The sequence below is a fragment of the Homo sapiens genome, chromosome 11, assembly GCF_000001405.40.
Source record: "Homo sapiens chromosome 11, GRCh38.p14 Primary Assembly".
NCBI lineage: Eukaryota > Metazoa > Chordata > Mammalia > Primates > Hominidae > Homo > Homo sapiens.
In genome coordinates this window covers 17,546,995-17,573,898 of record NC_000011.10, presented here as the reverse complement: position 1 = coordinate 17,573,898, position 26,904 = coordinate 17,546,995, and the positions used below count along the sequence as shown (strand labels likewise).

Here is a 26,904-nt window from a genome sequence, read left to right as displayed (position 1 = left end):
GCCCTGCCTAGGGACACACAGCAAGTCACCTGCAGGGCTGGAATAGAACTCAGGCCTCCTGACTCCCAGTACAGTGCCTTTTTCATTTATTCAACAAACATTTGCTAAAAGCTTACTGAGAGTCAGGCCTTGTGCCAGAGCTGGGGACACAGAGGTGATGAAGACATGGGAAGGAGCATAGCCCAGGGTCAGGGTAGGGACGGGTAGGGGCTGGCTCATGATATTGAAGTTGTGTGTGTACTCAAACCCCAGGGCAACAGCCAGTGGTCTTTTGAAAGGTGCAACGCAAGGTGGCTCTGAGTAGGGTGGCGGAGGTGGTAAGAAGTGGGTGAATTTGGGATTAACAGGACTGACAGGACTTGAGATGGACTGGAAGTAAGCGTGACAGAAGCAGTCCTGAGTCACAGGTCCCAGGTGTTATGCCTGAGTGATGGAGGGGATGGGGGCCATTGGCAGAGATGGAGGGTGCAGGAGGAGAAGCAGGCTCTGGGTGCAGTCAGGCTGGAGGAGACTGGAGGGCATCCCAGTGGAGACTTTCAGGGGCAGGGGACACTCAGGTCTGGAGCTCTGGCTCCTCCAGCTCAGCCTCACATGGGTGGGGCACTCACCACAGGCTGGCAGGCGGGCGCGGAAATCAACGGGGAGCCCATGGCGCCGGCACAGGTGGGCGTAGTGGGCCAGTGTGGCGCACAGGCAGGGCTGCCCGCAGCGGCAGGCATCCCTGCGGCACTGCTCAAAGTAGGGCACGGGGCTCAGGAACGCAGAGCAGGGCGCAAACATCTCCCCCGTGAGCACGCTGCAGGCCTGCACTGAGTAGGAGGCTGGGGAAGGAAGAACAGGAGCCAGGCAGTCAGGGGAGTCGGTCTACCTGGTGTCCCAGGATCAGCCTCTCTCCCTCCCCATGGCTCAGGGGTGTGTGTGTGTGCACACGCTGTACGGATGTAGGCAGCTACTTCAGTGTACAGCTGGCTGGGAAGGTATGGGTGTGGTTTAGTACATCTGGGTGTGAATACGTGGCTTGACAAAAATCCCTGGAGCTTACATTCTGGTCAAAGGAGACAGTCACTAAAAAATTCATATAGAAACTTCAAAGGTGAAGAAGGTAAGAAGCGAGAGAAAGCTAAGAAGCAGCATGGGTGTATGAGGTGAGGCAGGAGGGGCAACTGCAATTTGAATTCAGGCAGTCAGGAAGGCCTCAGTGAGGGAATGAGGTTTGAGCACAAATCTGAAAGAAGTGAGGAACTGAGGCATGTGTGTGTCTGCAGAAACAGCATTCCAGGCAACTGCCAAGTGCAAAGGCCTGGAGAGGAGAGCAGTCCTGACTGTGTAGAAAGAACAAGGAGGCCAGGGCAGCTGGGGCAGAGCAGAGGGCGGTGAGAGTAGGAGGTGAGAAGGGGGGCATGGGCAGAGAGGGTGGGGCCTGGTGGGGCCATGGGGCCGACTTCCGCTTTTGCCCTGAGATGGAGAAGCCAGTATAAAGGTGTGTGTGTATATCTGATAGTGGAAGAATATGAGGCTTCCTGCCTGCCTGGCCCTCACTGTCTCTCCTTTCCCCTCCCTGCTGCTCCTCCTTCTCTTATCACTCCTACAAATTTGGCCAGCACTCTCCTGCCCGGAGTTCCCTTTTCATCTCTCTCAAAGCAGTCCTCCCCACCCCACTCAACCATGCCTCTCCTCTTCCCCCACCAACTCACCGGCTTGCAGGTGCACATCGCAGGGGTCCAGAGGGGAGCCAGAGACCAGCGGGGAGCAAGCAGAAAGTGTTTTCCAGGAATTGCCAAAAAGTTGTGGGGTGCTCTCAGGTACACCCACTGGAGACCTGCAGCCATGTCACAGCCATATTCACACACTTGCCCCTGTGGACTCAGGGGGCACAAATAGCATAGATCCAGGTAACACCTACTTGCTCATATACACACACATAGTCATAATCTACACATCCATATACACACACTCAGAGGAGCACGTGTACTCACCCAAATATGTAACATGTATACGCACACACTCTCAACACACACACAGAGCACAAATATATGCCAGACATGCATATAGCCAAAGTGGTCCACACAGCCACATTCAAACACATAGAATCATGGATGTACACATGCATGCGTGCGCGCACGCACACACACACACACACGCAGACACACAACATTTAACAGGTCCCAAAAGGGCTCAAAATGGGCTAGGATTGTCCACTTGGGGCGGGGAATGAATATGGCTTCATTCCCCACCCCCAGCTCTTCAGGTCAGAAAAAGAAACAGGGACATCATGAAGAGTATCAAACACCATGGGGGTAAGACTTTTCCTCCCCCTTTCTCCATGGGCAATTCCTGAAAACTCCTTGGCTCGCCCTTTGGCTCTCTCAGTAGGAAACCGTCATACAAGGGGCAGTGAAGGGAGGAAGGGGGATGAGCATGTTTCCTAGGCATCACAAGTCTCCAAGAGTCACCAAACCCAGGTGTAGGTGTTGAGCGGAGGGAGGTCATGGTCTCTCTGGGGGGCAGGTTCTGCCTGGCACCCACCATGCCCAACTATTGTTCTGGGGCAATGAGTACACTCATATTATGTAGGGCAATATTCCTACCCAAAGGTTACATTTAGGAAAGTGGCAAACAGCTTACACACTAAACCAAGGTCTCCCCCTACTATTTGGCCAGCTACCCTAACATCTGCCCTACTAGGCAAAGCATAGTAGAATGCCACAGTTTTAAATATATATGCATTGAAAAGCTCTGAGCTTTATTTTGTTCTTGTTCTTCACAGCAAATCTGAATTCTCCGTTTTGGCTAAAGAATGCCTTCCCTGTTTCCTTCTGCATCCCCTAATGTGTGGAACTCCAAGGACTGGCCAGGATCTCCAGCCTTTAAAATCAACCTTCCTAAGTTCCTAACCTACGTCTGTGCCCAAATATGTCAGCTCACAGAAAACAGCCTTTCCCTGAATATGGGGAGGCTCACGGCGTGCAAACTCAAGAGCCTTCAAGTACCAGGTAGGAAAGGCACAAGGGTTAGACTGGCCTGGTGGGTTAGAAAGTGGGAATGTTAGTGTTCTTGGCTCACTAGGGGCTTACACTCACCTAAAGGTGGTGTCCACCTCAATTAAAACAAACAAAACCATGAGCCAAATCAGTCAGTCTGAGGTCCCCGGTTTTAAGACCTCATTCTAAAACAGCATTTCTCAAGGTGTGGCCCATAGACCTCCCATACTGGAATCTTAGAGGTGCTTATCAAAAATAGGATTCCTGAGTCCACCCTAAATCCTGGGGAGCGGGACTCAGGAATCAGTGTTTTAACAAGCTCCTGAGGTGATTCCACACATAGAGGACTGTGAACCGCTGCTTTAAAGAAACATAATTAAATTTAAATGTAGAGAAATCAATAACTAATGGTGCATGCTGGGCACAGTGAAGGCTCACGGGAGAGACATTTAGGCAGTGCCTCTAGATACCCAGCCCTAAGGGGCCCATTTCCCCTCTTCTTCGGGTTCCGTGGCAGGGCTACGTACAGGAAGTCATCCTGCGTGTTGCCATTGAAGGTGCCGCAGAGGCCCACGGTATCCTCCACCCATCGCTGGTCCACTTGCAGGTACAGTCGGAGCCCTTCACGGTCGTAGAGCACCCGCACGCCCACGTTCGTCCTCACCCGCAGGAACACGGAGGACAGCCTACGGATCTCAAAGGCATCTGGGCACAGAATCCAAAAGGAGAGAGTGGGAGGGCAGCCAGTACACACCCCGCCCACCACCACCACCTGCCTGGCCCGCTCAGACTCCCACGCCCGGCCCAGTCTTCGCCCCCTGCCTGCCTGCCTGCCTGCGTGCCTGCCATGAAGCTGGTATGGGGAGGCTTGAGGAAACCCTGTTCAGTGATGAAATCAGGACCCAGAGATAACTTCCCACTGCAGCCTGGGCTAAGAAATTTTTTTTAGCATCAAGTGCCAATTAAAGCTTTGCTCCCACTAAGGAACTGGTACACGTTTCCTCCTCTAGCAGAAGGAGGATTCTGTAACTACCCATTCTCTTCACAGTGGCCACAACACAGTTTTATTATGGAAGCTCATGATACAATTTTAGATTCAAGTGTAACAAATTTAAATTTTAGATTTTATTGTAGAACATTTTATACCCTTTATGGTTTATATTTATTTCTGCAGCCTGTTGACACCCAGTGCATCCCCACTCCTCCCAACCTTGAGCCCCTGTTGTTGTTTTTCTTTCTTTCTGGTGCTAGGTTTTTATTTCTTAATCGTTTTGCCATTTTTGTTACATGTGTTTCTTATGAGCTACACATAAGTTCCTTGTGGAATCAGACAGTATAACAAGTAGTTAATAAACAAGTTATGAGAGTCAGGATGGGAAACACCCATGTATATGTTCATGTTAGGAGAAGCCATCATGCTACTAGGAAGTCCACTGTCCTGTTGAGGTGGGACAAAGACACATTTTTGGAGTCCACATTTTTGCAACCAAAGTGTCCCCTATCCTGATCTACCCAGTACTAGAATATGAGTTTTTGCCAGGGTAGCAGTGCTTTTAGCCAGAGGATCCTGGGAAGAGAGGTCCAAACCCTCAGTTCCCAACTAGGTCTGTTGTCCACCCCAAACCGTACCATCTGTGTATGGCGGGATGATCTTGTACTGGTCAAACAGAAGGACATCCCCTGCCTGGGTCAGGGTCACCTGCCTCCGAGGGTCCTGGTGCAGAATCACTGACACTGACTGGACACAGGCTCCATCTTGGTTCTGGAGAGATAGAAAGGTCAATGGGGCAGTGTTGGTCTGACCCTCCTGCTGGATACAACAGAGCCCTCTAGGGACAGAGACCCCAGCCCAGCTTGAGAGACAGTTTCCTCAGAATGACAGACAGAGCCCCAAAGATATCAGGGATCATCCAACCAAATACCCTCGTCTGGGAATGGGCAGGCAGAGGCTCAGGTTGGAGAAGGTTAGTAGCAGAATGCGATAACACTAATAAAAATGGTAGTCAACTCTCAGGTTATCTAAAGACACAGAGCAGAGATGGAACCCAGATGGCCCAGAGTCCAGCCTGAGAAACACTGGCCTCCCCCACCTCATCACAACCCAGAACTTTAATTTCATCCCTTTGTGGGTGTTTTTATAATTCATTTCATGTTCACATCCTGCACTCCACTGACAGGCAGGCAGGAAATGAGGTAATATTCTCTGGGCCTCAGGTTCTCTATCTCTCAAATGGTCACACACTGGGCCCCTTTTATACCTCCCTCCACAGGAAAACATCCACACAATCATTCATTTAAACACTTAACTGAGCACCAACTATGTGCAAGGCATACTGTATCAGACTTTATGGATTCAGTGATAAGACAAAGTTTCTGTCCTCAAGGAAATTACATACTTGTGTGGGACACAGACATTAAATAAGTAATTACAAAGTTGATTACTCAATTATAATTGTGATCAGTGCTGTAAGCAGGTGTAGAGTGTTAGAAAAGCATATGACTGAACCAGACTTAGTCTGCAGAGGTAGGAAAGGCCTTCCTAGGGAATGATAATAACATAAAATTATCATAATAATACCACAATATTATTATGATATTACAACCAACAACTAACTTTCATGTGGAATTAGTATGTTCAGGTGCTGTTCAAATCTCTCTATATATATTCACTTGCCTAACTCTCATAGCAATCTGATTAAGAAAGTGTTACTGGCCGGGTGCGGTGGCTCACGCCTGTAATCTCAGCACTCTGGGAGGCCAAGGTGGGCGGATCACGAGGTCAGGAGATCGAGACCATCCTGGCTGACACGGTGAAACCCCATCTCCACTGAAAATACAAAAAATTAGCCAGGCATGGTGGCGGGTGCCTGTAGTCCCAGTTACTCGGGAGGCTGAGGCAGGAGAATGGCGTGAACCCGGGAGGCGGAGCTTGCAGTGAGCCGAGATCTCGCCACTGCACTCCAGCCTGGGTGACAAAGCGGGACTCTGTCTCAAAAAAAAGAAAAGAAAAGAAAAGAAAAGAAAGTGTTACTAACATCCCCATTTTGCAGATTAGAAAACCAAGGCACACAAAAAGTTGACATATAAGTTGAAATCTGAAGGATGCATGGAAGCTAGTTGGGCAAAGAGAGAAGAAGAAGAAGGAGACATCCAGGCAAAAGGAACAACTTGTACAAAAGCTCTGTTACAGGAAGTCGTTTAATGCATTCAAGGGCATAAAGAAGACTAGAGGGACCAGAACCCATCAGGCAAAGTGGTTTAAGATAAGGTTCAAGGCTGGGCACAGTGGCTTACGCCTGTAACTCCAGTCCTTTGGCAGCTGAGGCAGGAGGATCGCTTAAGCCCAGGAGTTCAAGACCAGCCTGCTCAACATACAGAGACCCTGTCTCTACAAAAATAAAAAATAAAAATAATTTTTTAAAAAGTTCAAGAGGTAGGTAAAGGCCAGCTTAGGCAGAGCCTTGAAATATTTTTAGACTTTATCTTAAGTCCAACAGCCAACCTGAGAAAGTGAACCAGGAGAGTGACACAGTGAAATGACAGAATGATCAGGGCTTGAAACTTTAAAGAAATACATTGTGCAACCAGCCACAACCATCCTTCTGAGTTCCTGCCCAGGAGTACAGAAAATCCCTGAAACAGCTCAAAATCATTGTATCTAAAACATCATCTTCTTTGTTCAACCCACTCATCCTCTAGTCCCCTCTGGACATGTCACCTGTGTGGGAATAAAGCCCACACCCTTTAGTCAAAAGTCTCAGGTTCAAATCCTAATGTAACTGAAAGCTATGAGACCTTAAAGAAGTCACTTAAATTCTCCATATCTCAGTTCTCTCCTCTGCAAAACAGAGATAAAACAACATTTGGTTGTACCCAATCCTACCCAGTTGGGTACAGATTTTTAAATGTGCATAAAATATTTTAGAGGTTGCATTTACCTCCAAAAGCCCACAGAACTTCACTAAGAGTGAAACTTGATGTAGGCAAATTCTAAAAATCACGTAGGAGGGGATCCCAGGATGAAATGTAGATGATAACAAAAGAATCTAACTGCATTACAAATGTATGAAACAATCTCAGTGAAGAGAGTGGGAGGAAAGGTGTTGACATAAGTAGCTTTGTAAATAAGTAGAATTTATAAGACTAAAGGCAAAAGAAACTGAGAACAAAACCTGTACTTTAGTTGATAAAGTTATTTCCTATAGAGGTATGCGTTAATAATAGGAATATACATGTATGCTGGAATTGAACAATTAGGTAAATGGATGGTGTATGGTGAAGGCCAGGTTTCTTACTGTTAGAGTGAGTGTTTACAGATAAGCAAGAGGAGGAAGCTAGAATGATCCATGTGGAATGGATTAGAATTGGACCATCAGTATGAAGTCATGTTTAGCACATGTAGATACAGATGGTTTTATAGAGAAATATTTATACTTATGTGTATATACTAAGATAAACATGGATATGCATATACAGTCGGCTCTCCATATCCAGGGGTTCTGCATCCATGGATTCAACCAACCATGGATTGAAAATATTTGGAAAAAAATATGGATGCTTGCTTCTGTACTGAACATGTACAGACTTTTCTTACCATTATTCCCTAAACAATATAGCATAACAACTATTTATATAAGCATTTACATTGTATTAGGTATTATAAGTAATCTAGCAAGGATTTAAGGTACACAGGAGGATGAGCATAGGTTATATGCAAATACTATATACCATGTTACATAAGGAATTTGAGCATCTGCAGATTTTGGTATCTGTGGGGAGTGGGGTGCTGGAACACAGATAATACCCACATTATCTGTGGAAATACCCCACAGATAATAAGGGTATTTCCTTTCTCTGTCAGCTGAGAAGGCCTAAAGGAAGTCATACCCCAGTAGCAATGAGCACACCTCATCCCCTGATCTTGATTCTAATACCATCGTCCAATAAAAGGAATCAGGAGAACCTGGTAATATTTTTGGAGAAATGAATGATACTAGCACTGGGACAGGAACTATACAAGATAAGCCTGGTGCATCTAATAGGCCCAGAAAGTAAAGACATGAAAGCACACACACACACTCAAGCCCCACCACCACTAGCATATACACACGCAATAATGAAGGTATGTCAAAGGGACACAGGAGTCAACTGTATGATCTCCCAGTGCCCAAAGCTGGAACAATTCAAGTAAGAACATAAAGGTGTAGTGGATTATAACTCAAAGTATAAAATAAACAGCCATGAGTCTATGCTGATATAAATAAGTAAATGGGAGAAAAGAGACAAATCTCCCTGGCAGAAAAGTTCTAAATAATGCATGTAGATTCTCTGCCTTCAAGGAGGGGGAGAATAACTTCCCACTCTGTAAGTGTGGGTTGCCCATAGTGACTTCCTTCCAAAAAGAACAGTATGGAAAGGGGGAAAAAGGAGTAAGTTTACAGTGGAGAAACCTGAAAAACACTACCTCCACCAGATGATCAAGGTCATAATCAACAGTGATAAACAATGTTGATAGTATATACCACGGATAAGATGTGATGAACATGGCACTTTACCTCTGTGATCTTCCTCCCAAAAAAAACCATAACCCCAGTCAAACCATGAGAAAAAGAATCAGACAAATTCCAATAGAGAGGCATTATCCAAAACAGCTGACCAGCACTCTTCAAACTTTGAAGATTATCATAAACAAGGGAAATCTGAGGAACTGTAACATCCATGAAGGGCCTAAGGAGACATGATGACTATATGTAATCTGGTACCCTGGATCAGAAAATGACATTAGGTAAAAAACTATAGAATCTAAATAAGGTATGCACTTTGGCTAATGATAATCTATTAACATCGGTTCATTATTTTTAACAAAGATGTCAAGGGAAACTGGGCGTAAGATAGACAGGAACTCTAGGTACTATCTTTGCAATATTTCTGTAAAGCTAAAGATGTTCTAAAACATAAAGTCTACTTTAAAAAAACACTTTGAGGGCTGCAAACACTACACAGATTCTGGGGTGGATGTGTTCAGATGCTGTGATAACATCCAACCCTAGGTCGGGCTCAGCTCTGCCTCCTGCTGGCTGTGGATTCTCAAAAATGCCCCAAGCCTCTGTAGGCCTGTCTCATCATATTTAAAATGGGGAGAATGATAACTACCACATGGGGTATGTTAAGACTTAAAGTACATGTTTTTTGCAAAGTAGTTAGTCAAAGTTCAAGGCACTGTGCAAATATTTTATCATTGTCATTATCATCCTCTCTGTGAATGTCCCCACTCCACTCCATTGCTGGGCACCCAGGAGTGCAGTCGCAGCTTCATCTTTGACTTCTCTCCCACACACTCCCCGCTTCACCAGACACAGTCAGTCAGTTGCCAAGTCCTTCTGCATCTGCTTTAATGGATCCTGGAATATTCCAACCTCGTTGTTTTTCTCATATAATCTAATCAACCCTTGGAGTGCCCTCCCTCCCTCTCCTTACCCAGGCATACTGATTTCTATGAATATTTTTAGGCTCACTTTTTAGGTCACTCAGCCCAAATGCCACTTCTGTCATGAGGTTTTCCCTGATCCTTTTTTCTGACCTATAGGACTATTTCTTCCACAGAACTCCCCTGTGATGGCACTGATCATGTTGTAGCTGTATGGAAGCTGTCTGAGGACACGCTGACCTCCCTACAGGCCACAAGAGCCTGAAGATAGGATCAGGGTCTGATTACTCTGTGTAACCTCACCATGCCCAGCACAGAGCTGGCACAGGGCTGGCCCTCCATGGGTCCATCATGTGGGTGAAGTCACAAGGAGGAGAGCTGGCCCAAGGTAAAAAGAACCTGCTGTCAAGAGGCACTGTCCCACAAAGAAGAGGGTTGACTCAGGCCAAGGCTGACCCACAGCCTATCAGAGACATGGTAGAGAGAAGGGCTGATGGCCAGGTGTGGTGGCTCACACCTATAACCCCAACACTGGGAGGCTGAAGAGAGTAAATCACATGAGCCCAGGAGTTTGAGACTAGTCTGGGCCACATGATGAAGCCTCAACAATACCAAAAAAAAAAAAAAAAAAAAAAACCAAAAACTAGCCAGGTGTGGTGGCACGTGTCTGTGGTACCAACTACTTGGGAGGCTGAGGTGGGAAGAGCGACTGAGCCTGGGAGGTTGAGGCTGCAGTGAGCTGAGATTGCGCCACTGCACTCCAGCCTGGGTAACAGAGTGAGATCCTGTCTCCAAAAAAAAAGGGGGGGATTCTGAGTAAGGGACCCTGAGACCCAATAGCCCCCAGGATTCTGTAAGTGGGAAGGAGCAGCTGGGCTGTGTCTGTGTGTCTTGTCTGTCTTATGCCACCCTCAGGATGTGATGGGAATGACCCCACTTTTGAGGAAGAGCAGTCTCCTGACTCAGAGAGCAGCCAAGCCAGGGCTGGGCCATTCTCTAGCAGAAAGAAGGGAGGGGCACACTCAGGCCAAAAGGAGAAGAAAGACCAGTCCTCTGCCTCATCCACAGTTCAGCCTGTGTCCCCAGGGCCATGGAGTGACACCTTCAGCTGATGCCTGCTCACATTCAGGGCCCTCAGTGCTGGGGGCTGGAGCAAGGCCAGCAGGGAGGCAGGACTGTGGGGCAGCTGCCCTGGCTGTGGGTGTGAGCTCCTGCTCTGATGCACAAGGAAGAGCTTTGGCACAGCCCAGACTGGGGCTTCCAGGGTTGGCTGAGCATGATCAACCCAGGGACAACGGAGTCTCCGCTGAGAGACAAACAAACCCCCATCTACCCCAGACTTGCACATTGGCCATTTTCTCAGTTATGTTCACAGGTGATTGACACAGTTCAAGGGTCATGTCTTCCAGGAAGCCCTTCCTGATCCACTTCACACTTCTGTCACCCAGTGCCCAAGTAAAACAACAACAACAAGAAGTTCCCCCGTAGAGATCCACCCTGTGCCCTCCATGTTCTCACAGCTGCTGTAGCCCAGTTACAACAGTTCACTTGCCTGCCTTGCCCACCAAACTATAGGGCCCAGGGAGGTGGAGCCATGTCTAATTCATCCCAGTCTCCAAGACCCAGCTCAGCCTCTGGCACAAATAGGTATTCAATGTTTGCAGAAGGAAGGACAAAAGGATGGAAGGAAAGAAGGAAGGAAGGGAGGGACGAATGTTGAAGGTGCAATCCAATGAAGCAGAGACGATAAAGTTAAATTAAACCAATTTTAGAGATTTTTTTTTAAACACTGAGGCCCACTCCATGATCAGGAATTCCAGTTAATAATTTATAAGGAAGAGATTTTTGTGTGCCATTCACACTGGTCTTTCTAACATTGTTTTGAGCTTATTTCAGTAAATAGTTTGGAATTTTTTTTTTGTAAAATGGGTGTAATTTTCCTAATACAGGTGTGCAACAACAAAAGAAGTTGCCTGAATGCCAGTTCAAATTGTTCCGTATAAAGATGCTCTTAAAAGACAGAGTTATCCTAGAACATTCATTCTTTTTTATTTGAAATTTTAAGTCATGTCCTTTATAAAGACCATAGCAGTGAAAAACGGTGTACTTTTTCAAAAATTGTGGAATATAAAATGTTTGAAAATTTTAATTTTCTTTAAGTGTGAAGACACATAAAATATGGGAGGAAACCAACAATCAAAACTAACTTTTTGTAGATAGCCATTACATTTCTTTTTTTTTTTTTTTTTTTTTGAGACGGAGTCTCGCTCTGTTGCCCAGGCTGGAGTGCAGTGGCACGATCTCGGCTCACTGCAAGCTCCACCTACTGTTTCAATGCCAACATATTCTACAAGAGATTTGTTTCATAAATTAATGGATTTAAAAGTAGGTGCCAGTGTTACACTTTCATATACATACATATATATATATATATATATATATATTTTTTTTTTAGGTAGTAAAATCCTAAAACCAAAAACCCACTGAGGTCCAGAAAAGGGAAGTGACTCAGTCAGCAGAGAGCAGAGGTGCTTGGGCTGGAGTCCAGTCTTCTCCCCAGAGAGAAGAGGCAGCAGGTGGGGGCCATGGGAAGACCTGAGCCCTGTCCTAAGTCCCAGTCTCTCTTGGGGGCAGTAGGCAGGAGTAGCTGGGTGGATCGGGCCTGGGGATCCCCAGCTCTTACCAGGCCACATGGGGCATTCTGCAATGTCACGGTGAAGGTGCCCGAAGAGCGGCTCTTGGCCAGGATGTACTGACATGTGGCGGGGAACGTGTACCGGCGGCCATCAAAGGTTGTGAAGTGAATGTCACCAGTCACTGAGCACTCAGCTGAGAGGTAGAAAAAGGCCACTGACCCATGGGAGCCGCCCCAGGGGAACTCTGCCCTGCAAGCTCCAAGTATGAGGAGGACACAGCACCCTGCCCTCCAGAATAAGAGCAGTATAAGGAATGAGGCCTGGCCCCTGAGAGCCCTGGGCAGTGGGAGACACAGGCTTGTCCCCAGAGAACTCCTTGAAGAGAGGTACAGCCCTGCCCTGGGGATCTCCCTTGGAGGGGAGACCAGGGCCTAGCCTTGAGGACCAGCCTCAGGCCAAGTACCCCTAGCTCGGGAAGGTCTTTAGATATACAGAACCCATGGAAACCCCTTCTCCTCATGGAAAACCCTTCCTGGCAGGGGCTGGAGCCAGACCTTAATCAGGCAAAGTGATTCTGAGGAAACAGGGGTCGGGGCGTAGCCAATGGAACTGAGTGACATCCCCACCCGCAGCAAGCCTGGCCCCCAGAGATTCCTTGCCCCAAAACCTATCAGACTGGTAGAAGGGATCCTAGTGCAAGGTGGGGGGCAGACATACCTGGGCAGACAGCTGTGCTGCACTCCCACTTGCCTGAGGTGCATGTGCTAAAACACAGAGACCAAGGAGGCAAGAGGTCACCCCTCCAGGCCTGAGCTAGATGCTGGGAAACTGCAGGGCCCACAGCCCTCAGTCTTCCCATCTCTAAAATGGGTGGTAGAGATTTCCCCCATGGATTGGATCTAATGAGACTCCCCTGGGACTCAAAGGTACTGAGTGAGTGCCCCGACGCCAGCCATTAGTGCTCCCAGATGGGCAGCCCTCGTGGAAAGCCTCAGCGGCCATGCCCCACACCCTGCTTCCCGGCAGCAGACACAGACCAAGTATTGCAGTCTTCCTTCACCACAGAGCCAGGTGGGTACAGAGTCCCGTGAAACTCACAGGGACACTCAGCTGGTGCCACGCAGCCCCCATCCTCGAAGATGAGCCCTAGAGTGACAGCAAAGGGCCAATTAACTCACCTTTGCCCCTGTTCACAAACCATTCGTGGCTCCCCAGGGCCTCTGATAAAGATCCCCTTATCTAACTTCTTTCATCTCTGAACCGACTTCCAAACTTTCTCCTCTATAAATCCTTGGCTCAGGCCAGAAGTGAACACCTTCTGATGAAAGAATCCCACCCCTAGACCTTTGCTCAGAGAACTGCCCACAACCCCATCCCCAACCTGCACACGAGCTTCTCCTCACCACCTCTCAAAAGCCTGTCACCGCATCAAAAACAGCTTAGGTGCCAGGCACCACCTCCTCCAGGAATGACTTCCCTGACAACCTCTCCCCATTCTGAATTCCTGTATTTTTTCTTATCTGAACTCCCCTGAGCTGGCTTTCACCACATCATACCTTAGACTGGTCATATGAGCGTGATATCTCTGAAACCAGATTCTGATTCCCAAAGTCAATGGCTTTATTTTTATATTTTTTATCTCAACCATCCTCCTAGCCAAGCACACTATAGATGTGCTGCAAATTTATACACTGAAAACCAGTCCCCATACATGGACCAATGCTTAAACAAATGTATGTGTATACATAAACCAATGATCTGTTCTCATACACACCTTAAGAAGCGCAGTCCTGATTAATTTAAATATCCCTATGAAATCAAATGTCCTGATGAATCTCTCGAGAGGCTGCAGTTCTGTCCTCACCCTCACTTCCCTTAAACCATTTATTCATTTGTTAATTGTTTGCTCCTTCCTTCCTTCCTTCCCTCCCTTCCTTCTTTCCTTCCTTCCTCCCTCCCTCCCTCTCTCCCTTCCTTCCTTCCTTCCTTCTTCCCTTCCTTCTTTCCTCCTTTTTTCCTTCCTCCTTCCTTCTTCCCTTCCTTCTTTCCTTCTTTTTTTCCTTCCTCCCTCCCTCCCTCCCTCCTTTCCTTCCTTCCTTCCACAAACAGGTATCTTCTGAACTCCTGTTTCGTGGCCATCTGTGCCAGGCCAGGAAGATGGTGCCAGGCACCTACGTCTGCCCCTAGCATACCATTGGGGCAATAGCAGCCGTCCACACAGGCGATCTCACTGTCCACACAGGATGCCCGGGGATGGCAGGAGGCAGGGCAGCAGGCGATGCACTCATTGTAGGTAAAGGCCTTCTCCTTGCAGTGCACAGCTTGGGAAGGAGGGATCCATGGTCTCTCAGCTACTGGCCCCAGCTCTGCCAGGACCCAGCTCCTACCCCAGGCCGTGGAGTGAGGATGGGAGGGAGGGCTTTGATTTTCATGATTTCCTAGTCCCAGAGGGAGCATTGGGTGCCCAGGAAATTGACAAGGAGAAGGAATTGCAAGGGGAGGCTCTGAGAATCACCCAGGCTAGCTCCTCCCACTCTGAGCCTCAGTTTTTTCGTCTTTCTCATGGCGATAAAACCTCGGGGCTGAGAGTTCTGATAACTGTGATTCTGAGCAGGACAAGACATTGAGCTGAGGCCTGAGAATGCCACCCACAGCCTGAAGGCCTCCCTGCCCCACTACTGGGCTGCACCTACTGCATTGCCGGAGCTGGGTCCTCCAGCCTTGCAAGGGCCGCCCTGCCTGGGCACACGCCCGGGCATACTCCGCCAGTGCCCGGCACCAGGTGGCTACATCACCCATTGATCTGTGCAGAGAAACCAAGGGTCACACTGGAACAAAACCCAAAGTGCCACCAGCCCACCAGCATCCCATAGACACTGCCAGGGCTTCAGGGCATCTCTCCTCTCCACCCAGCTGGGAAAGGCTGCCCAGGAAGGCATCTAGGTGAACAGATCCCTAGACTTGAGCTATAAATCCTGGATTCTAGTCCCAGCATTGCCACTAACTTGTTATGTGACCCTAACGGGGTCCGGCCCCATTTCCAAGCCTCAGTTGAATGGGGCAGCTCTGTCCCACCTAGGCAGATAAGAATTTCAGAGCCTTGGGAAGCAGATCTGGCAGTGCCTGGGATCACCCAGTTTGATGGCCCGTGTGCTGAGCACTCACCCCAATACTAGAGGGTTCCCCATAGCCCACACCACCCCTACTCACTGGCAGAGATCACTGGTACAACTGGCTGTGAAGGGCAGAGGGCTGACGTAGGCGTGGCAGGCGTCAAAGGGGGGCCGCAGTAGAGCCTCACACTGCTCGTACACGCCCTAGAGCAAGGGACCAGGAGCCAGGGCTAGGGGCTGGCAAAGCCACACACAGCCCCACACAGAACCCCAACTTGAGCTGTGGGGAGAGGGAGAGGAAGGCAGAGAAGAGAGGGATGGGGTCAAGGGCACCAGACATTCTGGGGTGCCACAGCCAGTGGCTTTCGAAGAGTTGGATAGCAAGTCAGGCTCTAGGGTAGGGGAGTTTCTCCCCAAGCTCCAGACCTGCATGGTTCCTGGGTTCTGCTGTAGGCACGGTGGGCGAGGCAGGGAGGAAGTTGTGGGCCCTGGAGGCTGGTTAGGGGCCTGCTCCTGCCAGCTGTGCACAAACTCAACCACGTCGTCAGTCAGCTTCCCTGGAGGAGGGAGCTGACATCATGATGGGGCAGCGATGGGGTTGGGTGGATGGGAGGGACAGAAGGCTCTGAGGGAAAGCGGATCCCAAGGGATGGGTAAGGAGTTTTGAAGAATCCGGTCTCCTGAGCTCCCATCCCAATCAGGGTTTCCCAACTGAGCCATTCTCCTGAAAAAGCTGTTTGATAGTAATAGCCAAGAATGCTCAGGAACCTGTAGTAGCTCCCTATGGCTCCAAACTCAGGGGATGCAGCACCATGCACCGGAAAGAGAACTGGTGTGTGAGCCTGAACAAGCTCCTGTGTCTCTCTGAGCCTCAGTTTCCCCATATTTGCCATAGGGAACATAATCTCCCAGTGAGATTGTTGCAAGGACTACTTGAGATGATGCATGTAAAGTGTTTAGTATGGTGTAGGTGCTCAAAAGGGGTCACGACCCTTCTGGCCAGAGCCACCATGATTTGGCCCTGAACGCTTCACTCACTTCCTACCACTCCTCCATAGGTGTCTTTAGCTGGGCCATTTCTCTTCCTGGCTGTCTCTAGCCCTCTGCTCCCTGCCTACCCCATGCCCCACATTGCAGGGTCAATCCCACCTGCAAAGTGTCTATTAGATCCCCCACAACCCTAGTGGGAATTCTTATCATGACTATTTTTGCAGATTAGGAACCTGGGGTTGACAGTAGTTTAAGAACATGCCCAAGGACACACATTTGTTAGGAAGGGGTCCTTGGCCTTCCATTGGGTCTTTAATACCATGACCACGACCCCAGGGCTCTGTTCCAAGTCCCCTCCAACCCCTCCCAGCCTGACCTGTCCCCCATCCCCACCAACACCCCTCAGAGGCCACCTGTCTGACCCTCACCAGAGCTGGTCACCAGATCATCCTTGGGGTCAGCATTGTTGTTCCCACACAGCCCATGGGTCCAGCCCAGAAGCTCTGGACTCATCTTGATGTAGACAGCCGAGGCACCATCCCAGGCCAGTGTGAAGGCTGACTGATGCCGCACGATGACATAGCCGGCAAGCTGCTGCAGACGCGCGCTCCCCATGACATGTGGCAGTTGGACCCTGCAGGGCACATCCCAGAGCTTCAGGGTATCCACAACACCTCCACTAGCCCAGTCTCTTCACCGAAGGAACAGCCAGTCCCTACCCCATGATCCAAGGCCCCCACTTCCCCTCCCCATGAATTCCCAGAATTCCCAGGTGCCTGGAAGTATACCATTAGAGATGGATTCTTTTGTCTTTAGAAATTTTTTAAGACGGCAATTTCCTGGGCAGGAATAAATCTTAGAGTGAGTGACTCCAAGTTCCTTTCTCCCAGACAGGATAGAATATAAACAAACATCTGCTTTATTTTTTTGGTGGGGAGCAGGAACCAAGTGGAAACAGAAGCCAAGAGAGGAGGAAAACTGGGAGTGCAAGAAAAGATGGCGGGCTCCAGCAGCCTTGACCACTTTCCCAGTTTTCCTGGTACAGGGACCCCTAGCCAACCTGGAATTTGGCAACCTTGAACCCAGCAAAATTTCAGGAAAGGGAAACAAAAGTACTGTCTAACTAGCCACAAGACCCATTTACCAACTCTTCATTCACAGGAGAAACCTATAGGCCATCAATTTTACACTCAGCCCCAGAACAATTGCTTGGTCACCCAGTTTCCAGATCTGAAGCAGGAGATGAGGACAGGGAGAAGTGTCATTACAGGAAGACCCCATGACAGCAACAAGAAGTGACAGTGGACAGCAAGGAAAGGAAAGAACAGTGAGGAAGAGATGCAGGAAAGATTTCACAAAGGACCACAGTCTGGGGCATTTTAGTATGGGAGCAAGGGGTCCCCACTCCTCTGGTGGTCCTCCAAGCATCCCTGTTGGCCCAGCAAGATAACTGACATTCACAATGACCCTGTGTCATCAGAAATGGAAGTGTACTCCGAATCTGCTGAGAGGAGGTAGAAACTGTGTATGATCCATTTGGGAAGATTTTGGGAGGGAAAAGTAAGCATGCTTATCATGATAAACTCTCAACTCACTGGAAAACTCTATTTTCCTGAAAGCCTGCTGTCTGGAAATCTGCAATATCTGAGAGTTCCAGGAAAAAAAAAATCATTCTGCAAACCCCACTGGCAAGAAACCCAGTGATCTGCCAGTATGCTTCCGCCCAGATAGTGGAAATTGCTGTTTGTCCCCAGAAAACAATTTCCTTTGGGCTTGAGAAGAGCGGATGCTCACCCATCCACCACCACCAGTGTCAGGGATAGGACAGCTCGATGTGGAAGGTGTTAGAGTTACCTCATGCCTCCATGGGTGACCTCCTTGGCCAGATGGATCTCCTGCTCACCCACAAAGAAGAGGCTGACAGCCCTGGAGCAGGTGTAGGGTGAAGAGCCACACTGCGGGTCATTGTGTACCTGAGTAGGGAGTTCAGAGGCTGGTTTGCAGGCTCCTGCCACAGGCCTGACCCTGAGCTTCACACCTTATTGAGTTTTCACTAATGCCGATGGCTGTCCCCTGCATACCAACTGCCTTTCCTCTGTGATCTCGCTCAGTCCCCATACATCACAGAGGGGAGGCAATGGATTCACAGAGAGGTGAAGTGACTAAGGCCACACACAGAAAACTAGGAAATCCCAGAGCTGGGATTCTAGCCCCGGTCTGGATGGCTCAGATTCCAGGGCTCTTCCCAGTCAATCATGCCATCTCCGTATTTCTGAACTTTTCTCTTTATCCTACCCAGGAAATACCATCAGATTGAAGGCCAACAGACATACTCCACCATCTCACACTCATACAGAACACAAACACACACATCTATACACACCCCATAAATTTCTCCCATGACACTCTCAGTGCACACACTATACACACACTCCCCTTCCCCCATGCCCCTGGCAGGTACAGATTGTAACTTTCCCCTACACCCATCGGCACACATCTCACTCCTGTGCTGCTGTCACACACACACACACACACACACACACATCTCTGCCCCCGCCATTCAGACAGAACCCAGACTTCAAAGGCCATAGACCCAAAGGACGGGGTGGGGTAGAGGGGAGAGCTTCCCAGAGCTTATCCCTGCCAAGTGTGGAAACCCTTCCCAGGAAGGCACCTTCCATCAGATTACTGTTCAATGTGATTAAGCAGGCTGGAGCCACTTCAACTACAAGTGGGAACTGTGAAAGCTACCCCATGGTCTAACTAAAGGGTTTTCAAGCTTTTGTGACCATGACCTACAATAAGAAATATATATAACTAAAAATTTTACAAAATAATACTTATCTCTATCATGCGTAATACACTCTTACAATATTTTCTATTTTATTTGTCTCATTTTTTAATGATGGTTGTGATTCGTTAAGTTGATTTTGTAACCCACGAGTGTATGGCAATGCATTAGTCTAAGTAATTGTAACATATCCATCATGAAATGATAGGTCATGAAAATCTCTGCTATGTGATAGGCCGAGGCAGAGAGAGGAAAATTGGTTGCAGTTCCCCGCCCATCCAGGGCATGGCCCCTAGAGCAGTCTCATAGGTCCATGACTGAGACAGAAGGATCACAAATGGCTAGCAGAGGGGAGACACTGAACACTGGGGTCTCCCCACACCCCCAACCCCTTGACCCTAACTCAGTACTGACCAAGGTGCCCTCCAACAGAGCTGGTTCTCCAAAGAGACTTTCCTCCAGGTGGAGGGGTATTGAGCTGTGGCTGAAGGTGACTCCCAGTTTAGCACACAGGTTAGGCATGAAAATCAGGCCTGCATGACAGTGGCTTTCACACGTGTTCCTATATTTCACAAACCTTTACTGAGCACCAATCCAGGCACTGTCAAAGAGAGAGACATGACCCCTGGCCTAGGAAGCTCACAGCTGGTAGAGAAAACCAACCCAAAACCAGACCTTTGTAAGAGAAATACAATGACAGCGTCATAATATGGAACTTTGAGTTACCCAGTGAGGAGCTCTTCAGCCAGCTTGGAAGGTCAGGAGATCCAGGGTGGCTTCTTAGAGGAGGTGACTCTAAACTGAGTCACCCAGGACCTCCATCATTTCTCTGAGGCCCTAGTCTCTTTCTTAGCACCCAATGATCTTTTTCCCCAGAATGTTCTCAAGTCTGCCCACACTCTCCTACTCTTCACTTGGCTAACTCCAATTTATTCCTTAAACCTCAACTTAAATGTGACTTTCTCCAGGAAGCTTTCCCAGGTCACCATCCTTCCGAATAAACAGGATTAGGTTTTCAGGACATGTTCGTTTAGCATTTGGCATTTCTCCTCCATAGCACTCATTTGCACCTGAAATGAGTCCTCTGATTTGATGTCCTTCTTCATTAGACTATAAGTTCTGAGAAGACAAAGATTATACCTGTGTTGTTGTCTACAGGGCCTCCCGCCACCAGACCTTATGCCAGAAAAGAGTACAGTATGCACTTAGTAAATACTTGATGAATGAGTGGCTCAATAAATGAATGGCCAGGGTGAGTGGGTGAGCGAGAGCTGTGGAGTCCCCAGCTCCTTCCAGGTGCAGACTGCCTGGGTGGGAGCTGGGGGGCGATGCAAGGAGGAAGGTGCCAGTCTCTCTAACTATGACAAGTAGAGCCCAGGCCAGTGCAGCCTCCAGGGCCTAGAGAAGCATTCCTGGACAGGCAAGGCAGGGGAGGCCTCACCTGGATGGAGAAGCTCTGTCCCTCGGGCTCATGGCGACCCACCAGGGTGTAGCTGCCCTTTCCGGAGAGGTAGTAGTAGAGCCCATCAAATGTCTCCACGTGGTGCTGCCCCCACGCCCGGCAAATGCTGTCCCTCTCAGGGCCGGCATTGTACACTGAGGGAGAGAAAAGAGAACCTCTCTGTGTAGCTACAGTGGGCACCAAGCCAGAGGCTGGTGGGTTCCAGCCCTGGAAGTGCTGCTCCCTTTCTCCCTAGCTTTCCCTGCACCCAGGTCCCTTCCTGGGGGTGGGGTGGAGCCCAGACCCACCCATCTGGCAGCGCGGTCCAGTGGCATTGAAGCGTCTGCAGTCACAGAAGGCTGGGTGCACACACTCGCCTCCATTGAAGCAGGAGAACAAGTCTGCATGGGAGACACAGAGTCATTGCCCCATCAAGCTGAGATTGGCAGAACCCAGGGAGGCAGCCCTCTCAGGCTTCACAGGATCCAGACCCCCATAACAGGCAGCCCCAGCCCCAACATTCCTCAGCAGCTAGCACAAGCTGGTGCCTCAGACCACAGCCCTGCCCCCTCCCTGGCAAGCCGGTGGGGTGGGGTCGCAGGGCATCTGCCTTTGATGTGCATCAAGTGGCCCCCAGGCCAGCCCCACCTGGGCCTTCAGTTGCTAGAGCTGTTCCTGGCTAGCAAGCAAGGCAGGCAGAACTGAGAATGGGGAGCATGTGGGGTGAGCAGGGGGACTGCCCAGAGATCTGCAGCTGCTGCTCCTCCTCACTGCTCCACACACTCAGGGAAGAAGCCACGGGGGTAACCAGGCGATGGAGGAGAGGCCTGTAGCAAGAACAACCATAGACGAAGGGAAGACAAAGCAGAGCAGAGGGCAGCGAGGAAAGGAGCCATGATGTGAGAGGACAGGTGGGGGACACAGGACAGGTGGGAGACACAGGACAGGTGGGGGACACAGGACAGGTGGGGGACACAGGACAGGTGGGGGAGGTAGGAACAGACACAGGACAGGTGGGAGGAGAGGCCACAGACCTAGGACAGGTGAGGGGGACCATGGACACAGGACAGGGAGTGGGGGCTACAGACAACACAAGATGAAGGGCAATACCACAGAAAGTAGAAAGAAGCCACAGAACCAGGTGGGATGGAGGGGGAAACAACCACTAAATAATGAAGCACAGTCTCACTGGAGTCAGCCTGTGAGGGGGCAGTCCCGGGCCATGGTCATAGGAACAGGACTCTAGAGAGGAAGCTCTCCTCAGGCAGGGAGGAGAATGCCAAATGGCATGGTGGCCGGGGCCAGAGTGGGTGGAAGGAGATGCCAAGCAGGAAAAAGGGGTCATGGAGGCCTGAGGGAAGCCCCACCTGCCCTCTGCCCTTTCAGGCCTCTGCCAGGGCTCTCCCATGCACAACCCATGGACCACAGTGAAGGTGCCACTTACAGGATGGTGCACACTTGGCCCGATGGAGCCGCCTTTCCCAGGAAGACATGGCCACGGAGTCTGGGGCTTCAGCCTGCTTGTGAAGACAGGAGGAAGAGAACACATCGAGGGCTGACCTCAGGACGGGTTCCCAGGCAGGCTTCCTGGTGGCCACAGCCCTCTTTGTTCATCTCCCAGAGGGAGGAGCCCCTGCCCCTCAGTGCCCCAGCCACTCCTCCTCGCCTGGCCCCCTCGAGAGGCAGAGGAGAATGTTTAGGCCTGCCCTGGGCTCAGAGGAACAAAGGCTTAGCTCTCACCTTCCCAAGTGGCATCTCTGCGGCAGACCATGAGGCCCATGGCTGGAACACAGCCCCTCCCCTCCATGCCCCAATACCTGCCAGCCTCCTTTTCTTCCCTCTCTCCCAGTAAACCCTTATGTCCTCCACAGCCTTACACACAATCCCTTGTCTGGATTACGAGCATGAGGCAGAGCTAAGGAACAAAGGCAGCCCCTCACCCCAGGTCAGGGGAACATCTCACCCCCACAGCCACCCCCACCCCAACCTTCCTTTGGGGTTCTTCCAAGAACAGCAAAACCAGCAGCCCACAGATCAACACCCACTGTCCTCACAACTCAGCTCCCAGTCAGGACTCCTGCCCTGATACCTCAGGTCTAAGGAGGAGACAGGCCAAGTGTGTGGCTTAGAAACCCTATTTTCCAGACAGAACTCCCAGAGCATGGTCTCTCCAGACATAAACCGCCTGAAATCAGGACTATATAACAACAGGGGTGTTCAGTCACCACAGGACTAGATGACTTATACACCAGCCCTCTCAGAACTCCAGTCCGAGACGTCTAATGTCACCTGGAACCGGCATCCTGGGCACAGTTGGCTCCTCCTCCCTTAGAGGTTCAGCCTCCTCATTTGTACAATGTCCCCAGAACCCTGTGCCAAGCATTGTGCTGGATGCAGTGAACAGGGCAGAGTCCCTGCCCTCTTGGAGCTTATGTGCTTGTTCATAGGGCCAACAAGCCACAAACTGCACTGTGGGTATTTACCTCACATGTCAGCCTCCCTCATTGTCATCCAGCAAAGGACTTGAACATAGGAAATATTCAGGCCCTTGGTCCCTGGAGCCAACCCCAGCTCTTGGCCCTGCCCTGGCAGGCACAGCCTGGCCACCTTGTCCCTTACGCTCACACCTTTCATCTTCATGGTCTTCCTGACATCTTAGCCAGATTTTGGTGTCCTCACCTACTTTGGCCCCTGGTTCCTGGGTTCTCCCGAGCAATCCTTACCCAGTCGACCCAGCCCCAGCCCCAGGAGTCAGGTTTCCCACCCGGGTACTAATCTATCTCATGGGGCCCTCAGAGACCACAGGAAATAGGAGAGGGCAGGGTCACAGGAAACAACTCGCATCCTTTAGCCACCAGAGAGCTGTAATTAAACTCAGTCTTCGTGTCCTCACTCTTCACTCCCACTTCAGATGTGGCCTCTGAGATAAATGAGTCATGAGGATGAGACAACCTGTGATGCAAAGAGTCAAAGCCATTTTCTAAAGGATTTCTTAAATCTTGTCCAAATGATTAGTCTTCAGGGGCTAATCAATCAGGCGCTCTTAATCATTTTTATGCCACGAACCCCTTAGATAATTTAGTGACCCTATGTGGACACCTTCTCAGAATAATGTTTTTAAAAACATAAAATAAAGGATAAGGTTACAAAGGAAATCACTTATATCACAATATCATTTTATGAAAATATTTTATAAAAATGTGTAATTTAGTAATATTTGTGCTTCTTTAATAACTCAATAAATAAAAGATCTAGCAGTGGGCCTTATCACTGCCAAAATTTTGAAGTAGTGATGAACATAAATGATATCTTGAGACAGCAACATCTATAAGTGGTAGGAAAATATCTGTCATGTCTATTGGTGACAGTCAAAAACACTGCAAATACTCTTGTGGTTTGTAGACTATAATAATAATTGAAAAGGATGCTGAATTTCAGTTGGATTGAGGTTTCTGTAAATAACAATGTGTTTTTATTTTCCCCCATCCATGGACCCCTGTCTACAACAATTCTCTAGAAAATGGTTGAGCTCTGTAGAAGCGGGACAGCATTGAAATGAAGATTGGTTGCCTACTGGTCTGGGGCACACCCCCACTTCATGAAGAGGGCATTCCAAACAGGAGCCCTTGAAGTATCCCTGGTACATGAGCCTCAGTCCCCCACCCCCCAACTCCTGTCACCTTAGAGGGAGGCCATTCTAATTCCTCGTTGCTCTGAGGAGCAGCGTGAGAAACCTCCCCAGGTTGCCTGGTCCACTCACTTATGACCCTTCCCCAAGGAAAAGGCGGGATGCCTACCCTGGAAACCAGCACGGGAGGATACCCACAGGGAAATGAAGTGTTTGGAGAAGGGTCATCTCCCCCACTAAAACATGGGGATTCCTGAAGTCCTGTATGCACGGCCTGGCTCTGCCAGTAGACTTTGCTCCACCTGCTCATTGCAGGGCCCCCACAAGTCATCCACCCACCTCAATTTCCCTACCTACAAAAAAATGACTCCAATACCTTCCAACTCAAGCAGTATTTGACTGTGATTCTAAATCTTAGGGCCTGGAAGTGTGGGCAAAGAAGAAGTAAAAGATCCAGGAAATCCACATCAGAGAAGAAGCACGCCCACACCATCCCCCCTCACTCCACCTTGGGGTCTTCATGTCTATTTCCAAAGGGCAGGAGTTGGGACTCATTGCTGTCATAAACGATTCTCCCCAATCTGCTGGCTCAAGGGGCTCCCCAGAGCTGACCGCTGGGGCTGGGGCAGGGGCACTTGAGCTGAGGCTCAGCTGCTTTGGGGGACCTAGCTGCAGGTGGGTGGAACTTATAGCTCATCTGTAGTTATAGAAAGAGGGAGACAAATGCGGGCCAGGATTAGAAAGTAGACCTGAGTCACCTGATCCAGAGACCAAAGAAGTTTGGCAAAGGGAGAAAACAAAACTGCCACCTCTCCCACAAACACAGAGGACCGTGGGAAGATGGGCAGTGGAATGGTCAAGACTCAAAGGATAGAGGCCGGGCTCAGTGGCTCATGCCTAATCCCAGCACTTTGGGAGGCTGACACAGAAGGATCACTTGAGGCCAGGAGTTCAAGACCAGCCTGGGCAACATAGTGAGACTCTGTCTCTACCAAAAAAATTGAAATTCAACCAGGCATGGTGGCACACACCTATAGTCCTAGCTACTCAGGTAACGGAGGCACCAGGATCACTTGAGCCCAGGAAGTTGAGGCTGCAGTGAACTATGATTATGCGACTGCACTCCAGCCTGTGTCACAGAGCAAGACCCCGACTCAAAAAAAGAAAAAAAAAGGCTCAAAGGATGAGTTCAGGGCTCTGCTTCTCAACCAAACCTTCCTTGCAACTTCCACCAGGTGGCCTAGTTTTTGTCTTGCCTGCATTCTTGAGGCTCCGCTCAGGGTATGGAGAGGAGCCTCTGACAGGGTTGAGGGCCTTCGCAGGCCAGTCAGGGAAAAGAGAACTCCATTCTTCTAAACGTCCATCTTTCTACTTTTACCTGCCAGAAGGGAGAGCTCAGCTCTCTCCTGAAAGAGCCCTGGTGCCCACCTCTCCTAAAAAAAAAAAAAAAAAAAAAAAAAAAAAAAAAAAAAAGAGTGGACTATAGACCCCCAAGAGATTAAAAAGAATAGAAGGGTTTTATGAACTTGCACACCTCAGACACATACCAGGAATCTGCTTGTTCCTTTCTGAACAACTCCAGAGACCCCTCCTGTAACCTACAGAGCTCCCTGCCAGCCTCAGATCCAGATAGACATGAGCTCCTGCTCAATGAAGCCCCCTCCCAAGACCTCCCTTACCTGGCCTCCCACGACTGTAGCCTTGTCCCCCATGGCAAGGGTCGCCTCCTGGTGGCTGCTGCTGGAGGAAACACGAGTCTGGCATGGATGGGGGGCTAGGATGGGTTATGCCTCCCCGCAGTCCCCTGGCCTATCCCACCCTAAGTGCTAAAGCCCTGGGGTCGCTGATGCCAGAAATACGGATGGGAGCTGTGGGTGGGGCCGCCACAGCTCACACCTACTCACCTGGGTTGCCCGGCTGGCTCTGGCTGTGGCTCTGCACTGCCCCACAGAACGGGTGCTGCGGCTGGGGAGGGGGATTATTCTCCACTCAAATTGTGCTTGTCTTTACTGGGGCCTCCCACCACCTGGCCCCCACTGCTAGAAAGCCTCTCCCACGCCACTGAGCATTCCCCCATTCTCCCTCCCTGCAGCCTTCTCAAATCCTTTCTCTCCCTTCCTGATGACCCTTCTCCAGCCAGGATCTCCCTGTTTACTCTCAGTCTTTGGCCCCCAGCTCTCTCTAGTTCCCCACCTCGGGTCTCTTCCACCCAGCCTAACTTTGGACTCTTTCCCCCGCGGTCATAGGCCTGCCTCTGTTGGCTTCGGGGTCCCTCCTCCCCTGACTGCTCCTCCTGGGTGTCCCTCTGCTCTCCCTCAAACCTCTCTTTCCTCCCTCTCTCCAACCTGCGCGGGCCCATTCCTCATTCCTTTAACGTTTCTCATTCCTCGAGCCCCCGACCTCCCTGAGTCCACAACCCTCTCACCGAGGCGCTGCACCCGCAGGGACTCGGCTGCCTGCTCACCCCAGGGCAGCCAGACACAAAGCAGCCAGCAGAGCGCAGACGCCAGGACTCCCATAGGGACACGAGGGGACCGGAGGACTTGAGCGCAGGGCCAGCCTCCCGAGGTGCCTCCCCGGGCTAAGGCAGGGTCACACCTCCACTCCGCAGCCGAGGTCCCTCTTGTTCTCATGCCCCAGGGCTCCCTCAGCCCCTCCTCCCAGGCTCTCAGCTCCTCCCCGAACTAGAGTGACAGGAGTACCCAGCTTATTACCATAATTTAGGCGCCTGTCCATAGCCTAGCCTCTGCTTTTCTTGGCCTGTGGCCACACCTCCCCAGGGGAGGCTGGATTCAGATTACTCAGCCCTAAATTGTCTAGGGAAGCATAGAGGCAGCCTATGCAACCTCCAGCTCCCCTTACCTGGGTCCTGGAAGCCCAATACCAGAGACGCAAGA

The 26,904-nt window shown here is 50.0% G+C and overlaps 1 protein-coding gene across 2 annotated transcripts in view; it reads right to left on the bottom strand.

The window, feature by feature from the left end:
• The window catches only part of OTOG (otogelin), a 98,786-nt gene extending 72,146 nt beyond the window's left edge, over positions 1–26,640 (bottom strand). The window contains exons 1-19 of one of the 2 annotated variants that reach the window (NM_001292063.2): positions 26,433–26,640; positions 25,912–25,972; positions 25,687–25,747; positions 21,824–21,899; positions 20,688–20,780; positions 20,380–20,534; positions 18,002–18,120; positions 16,576–16,781; positions 15,584–15,714; positions 15,255–15,361; positions 14,738–14,847; positions 14,237–14,365; positions 13,082–13,190; positions 12,762–12,808; positions 12,092–12,237; positions 4,611–4,743; positions 3,509–3,686; positions 1,695–1,819; positions 609–821 (exon numbers count right to left, since the gene is read on the bottom strand). In NM_001292063.2, the coding sequence (NP_001278992.1) occupies positions 609–821; positions 1,695–1,819; positions 3,509–3,686; positions 4,611–4,743; positions 12,092–12,237; positions 12,762–12,808; positions 13,082–13,190; positions 14,237–14,365; positions 14,738–14,847; positions 15,255–15,361; positions 15,584–15,714; positions 16,576–16,781; positions 18,002–18,120; positions 20,380–20,534; positions 20,688–20,780; positions 21,824–21,899; positions 25,687–25,747; positions 25,912–25,972; positions 26,433–26,526 (2,293 nt within the window). In that variant the 5' untranslated portion in view covers positions 26,527–26,640. Of the gene's footprint in view, positions 1–608; positions 822–1,694; positions 1,820–3,508; positions 3,687–4,610; positions 4,744–12,091; positions 12,238–12,761; positions 12,809–13,081; positions 13,191–14,236; positions 14,366–14,737; positions 14,848–15,254; positions 15,362–15,583; positions 15,715–16,575; positions 16,782–18,001; positions 18,121–20,379; positions 20,535–20,687; positions 20,781–21,823; positions 21,900–25,686; positions 25,765–25,911; positions 25,973–26,352 lie in introns of both variants that reach the window. The other variant, NM_001277269.2, reaches the window with a different exon arrangement.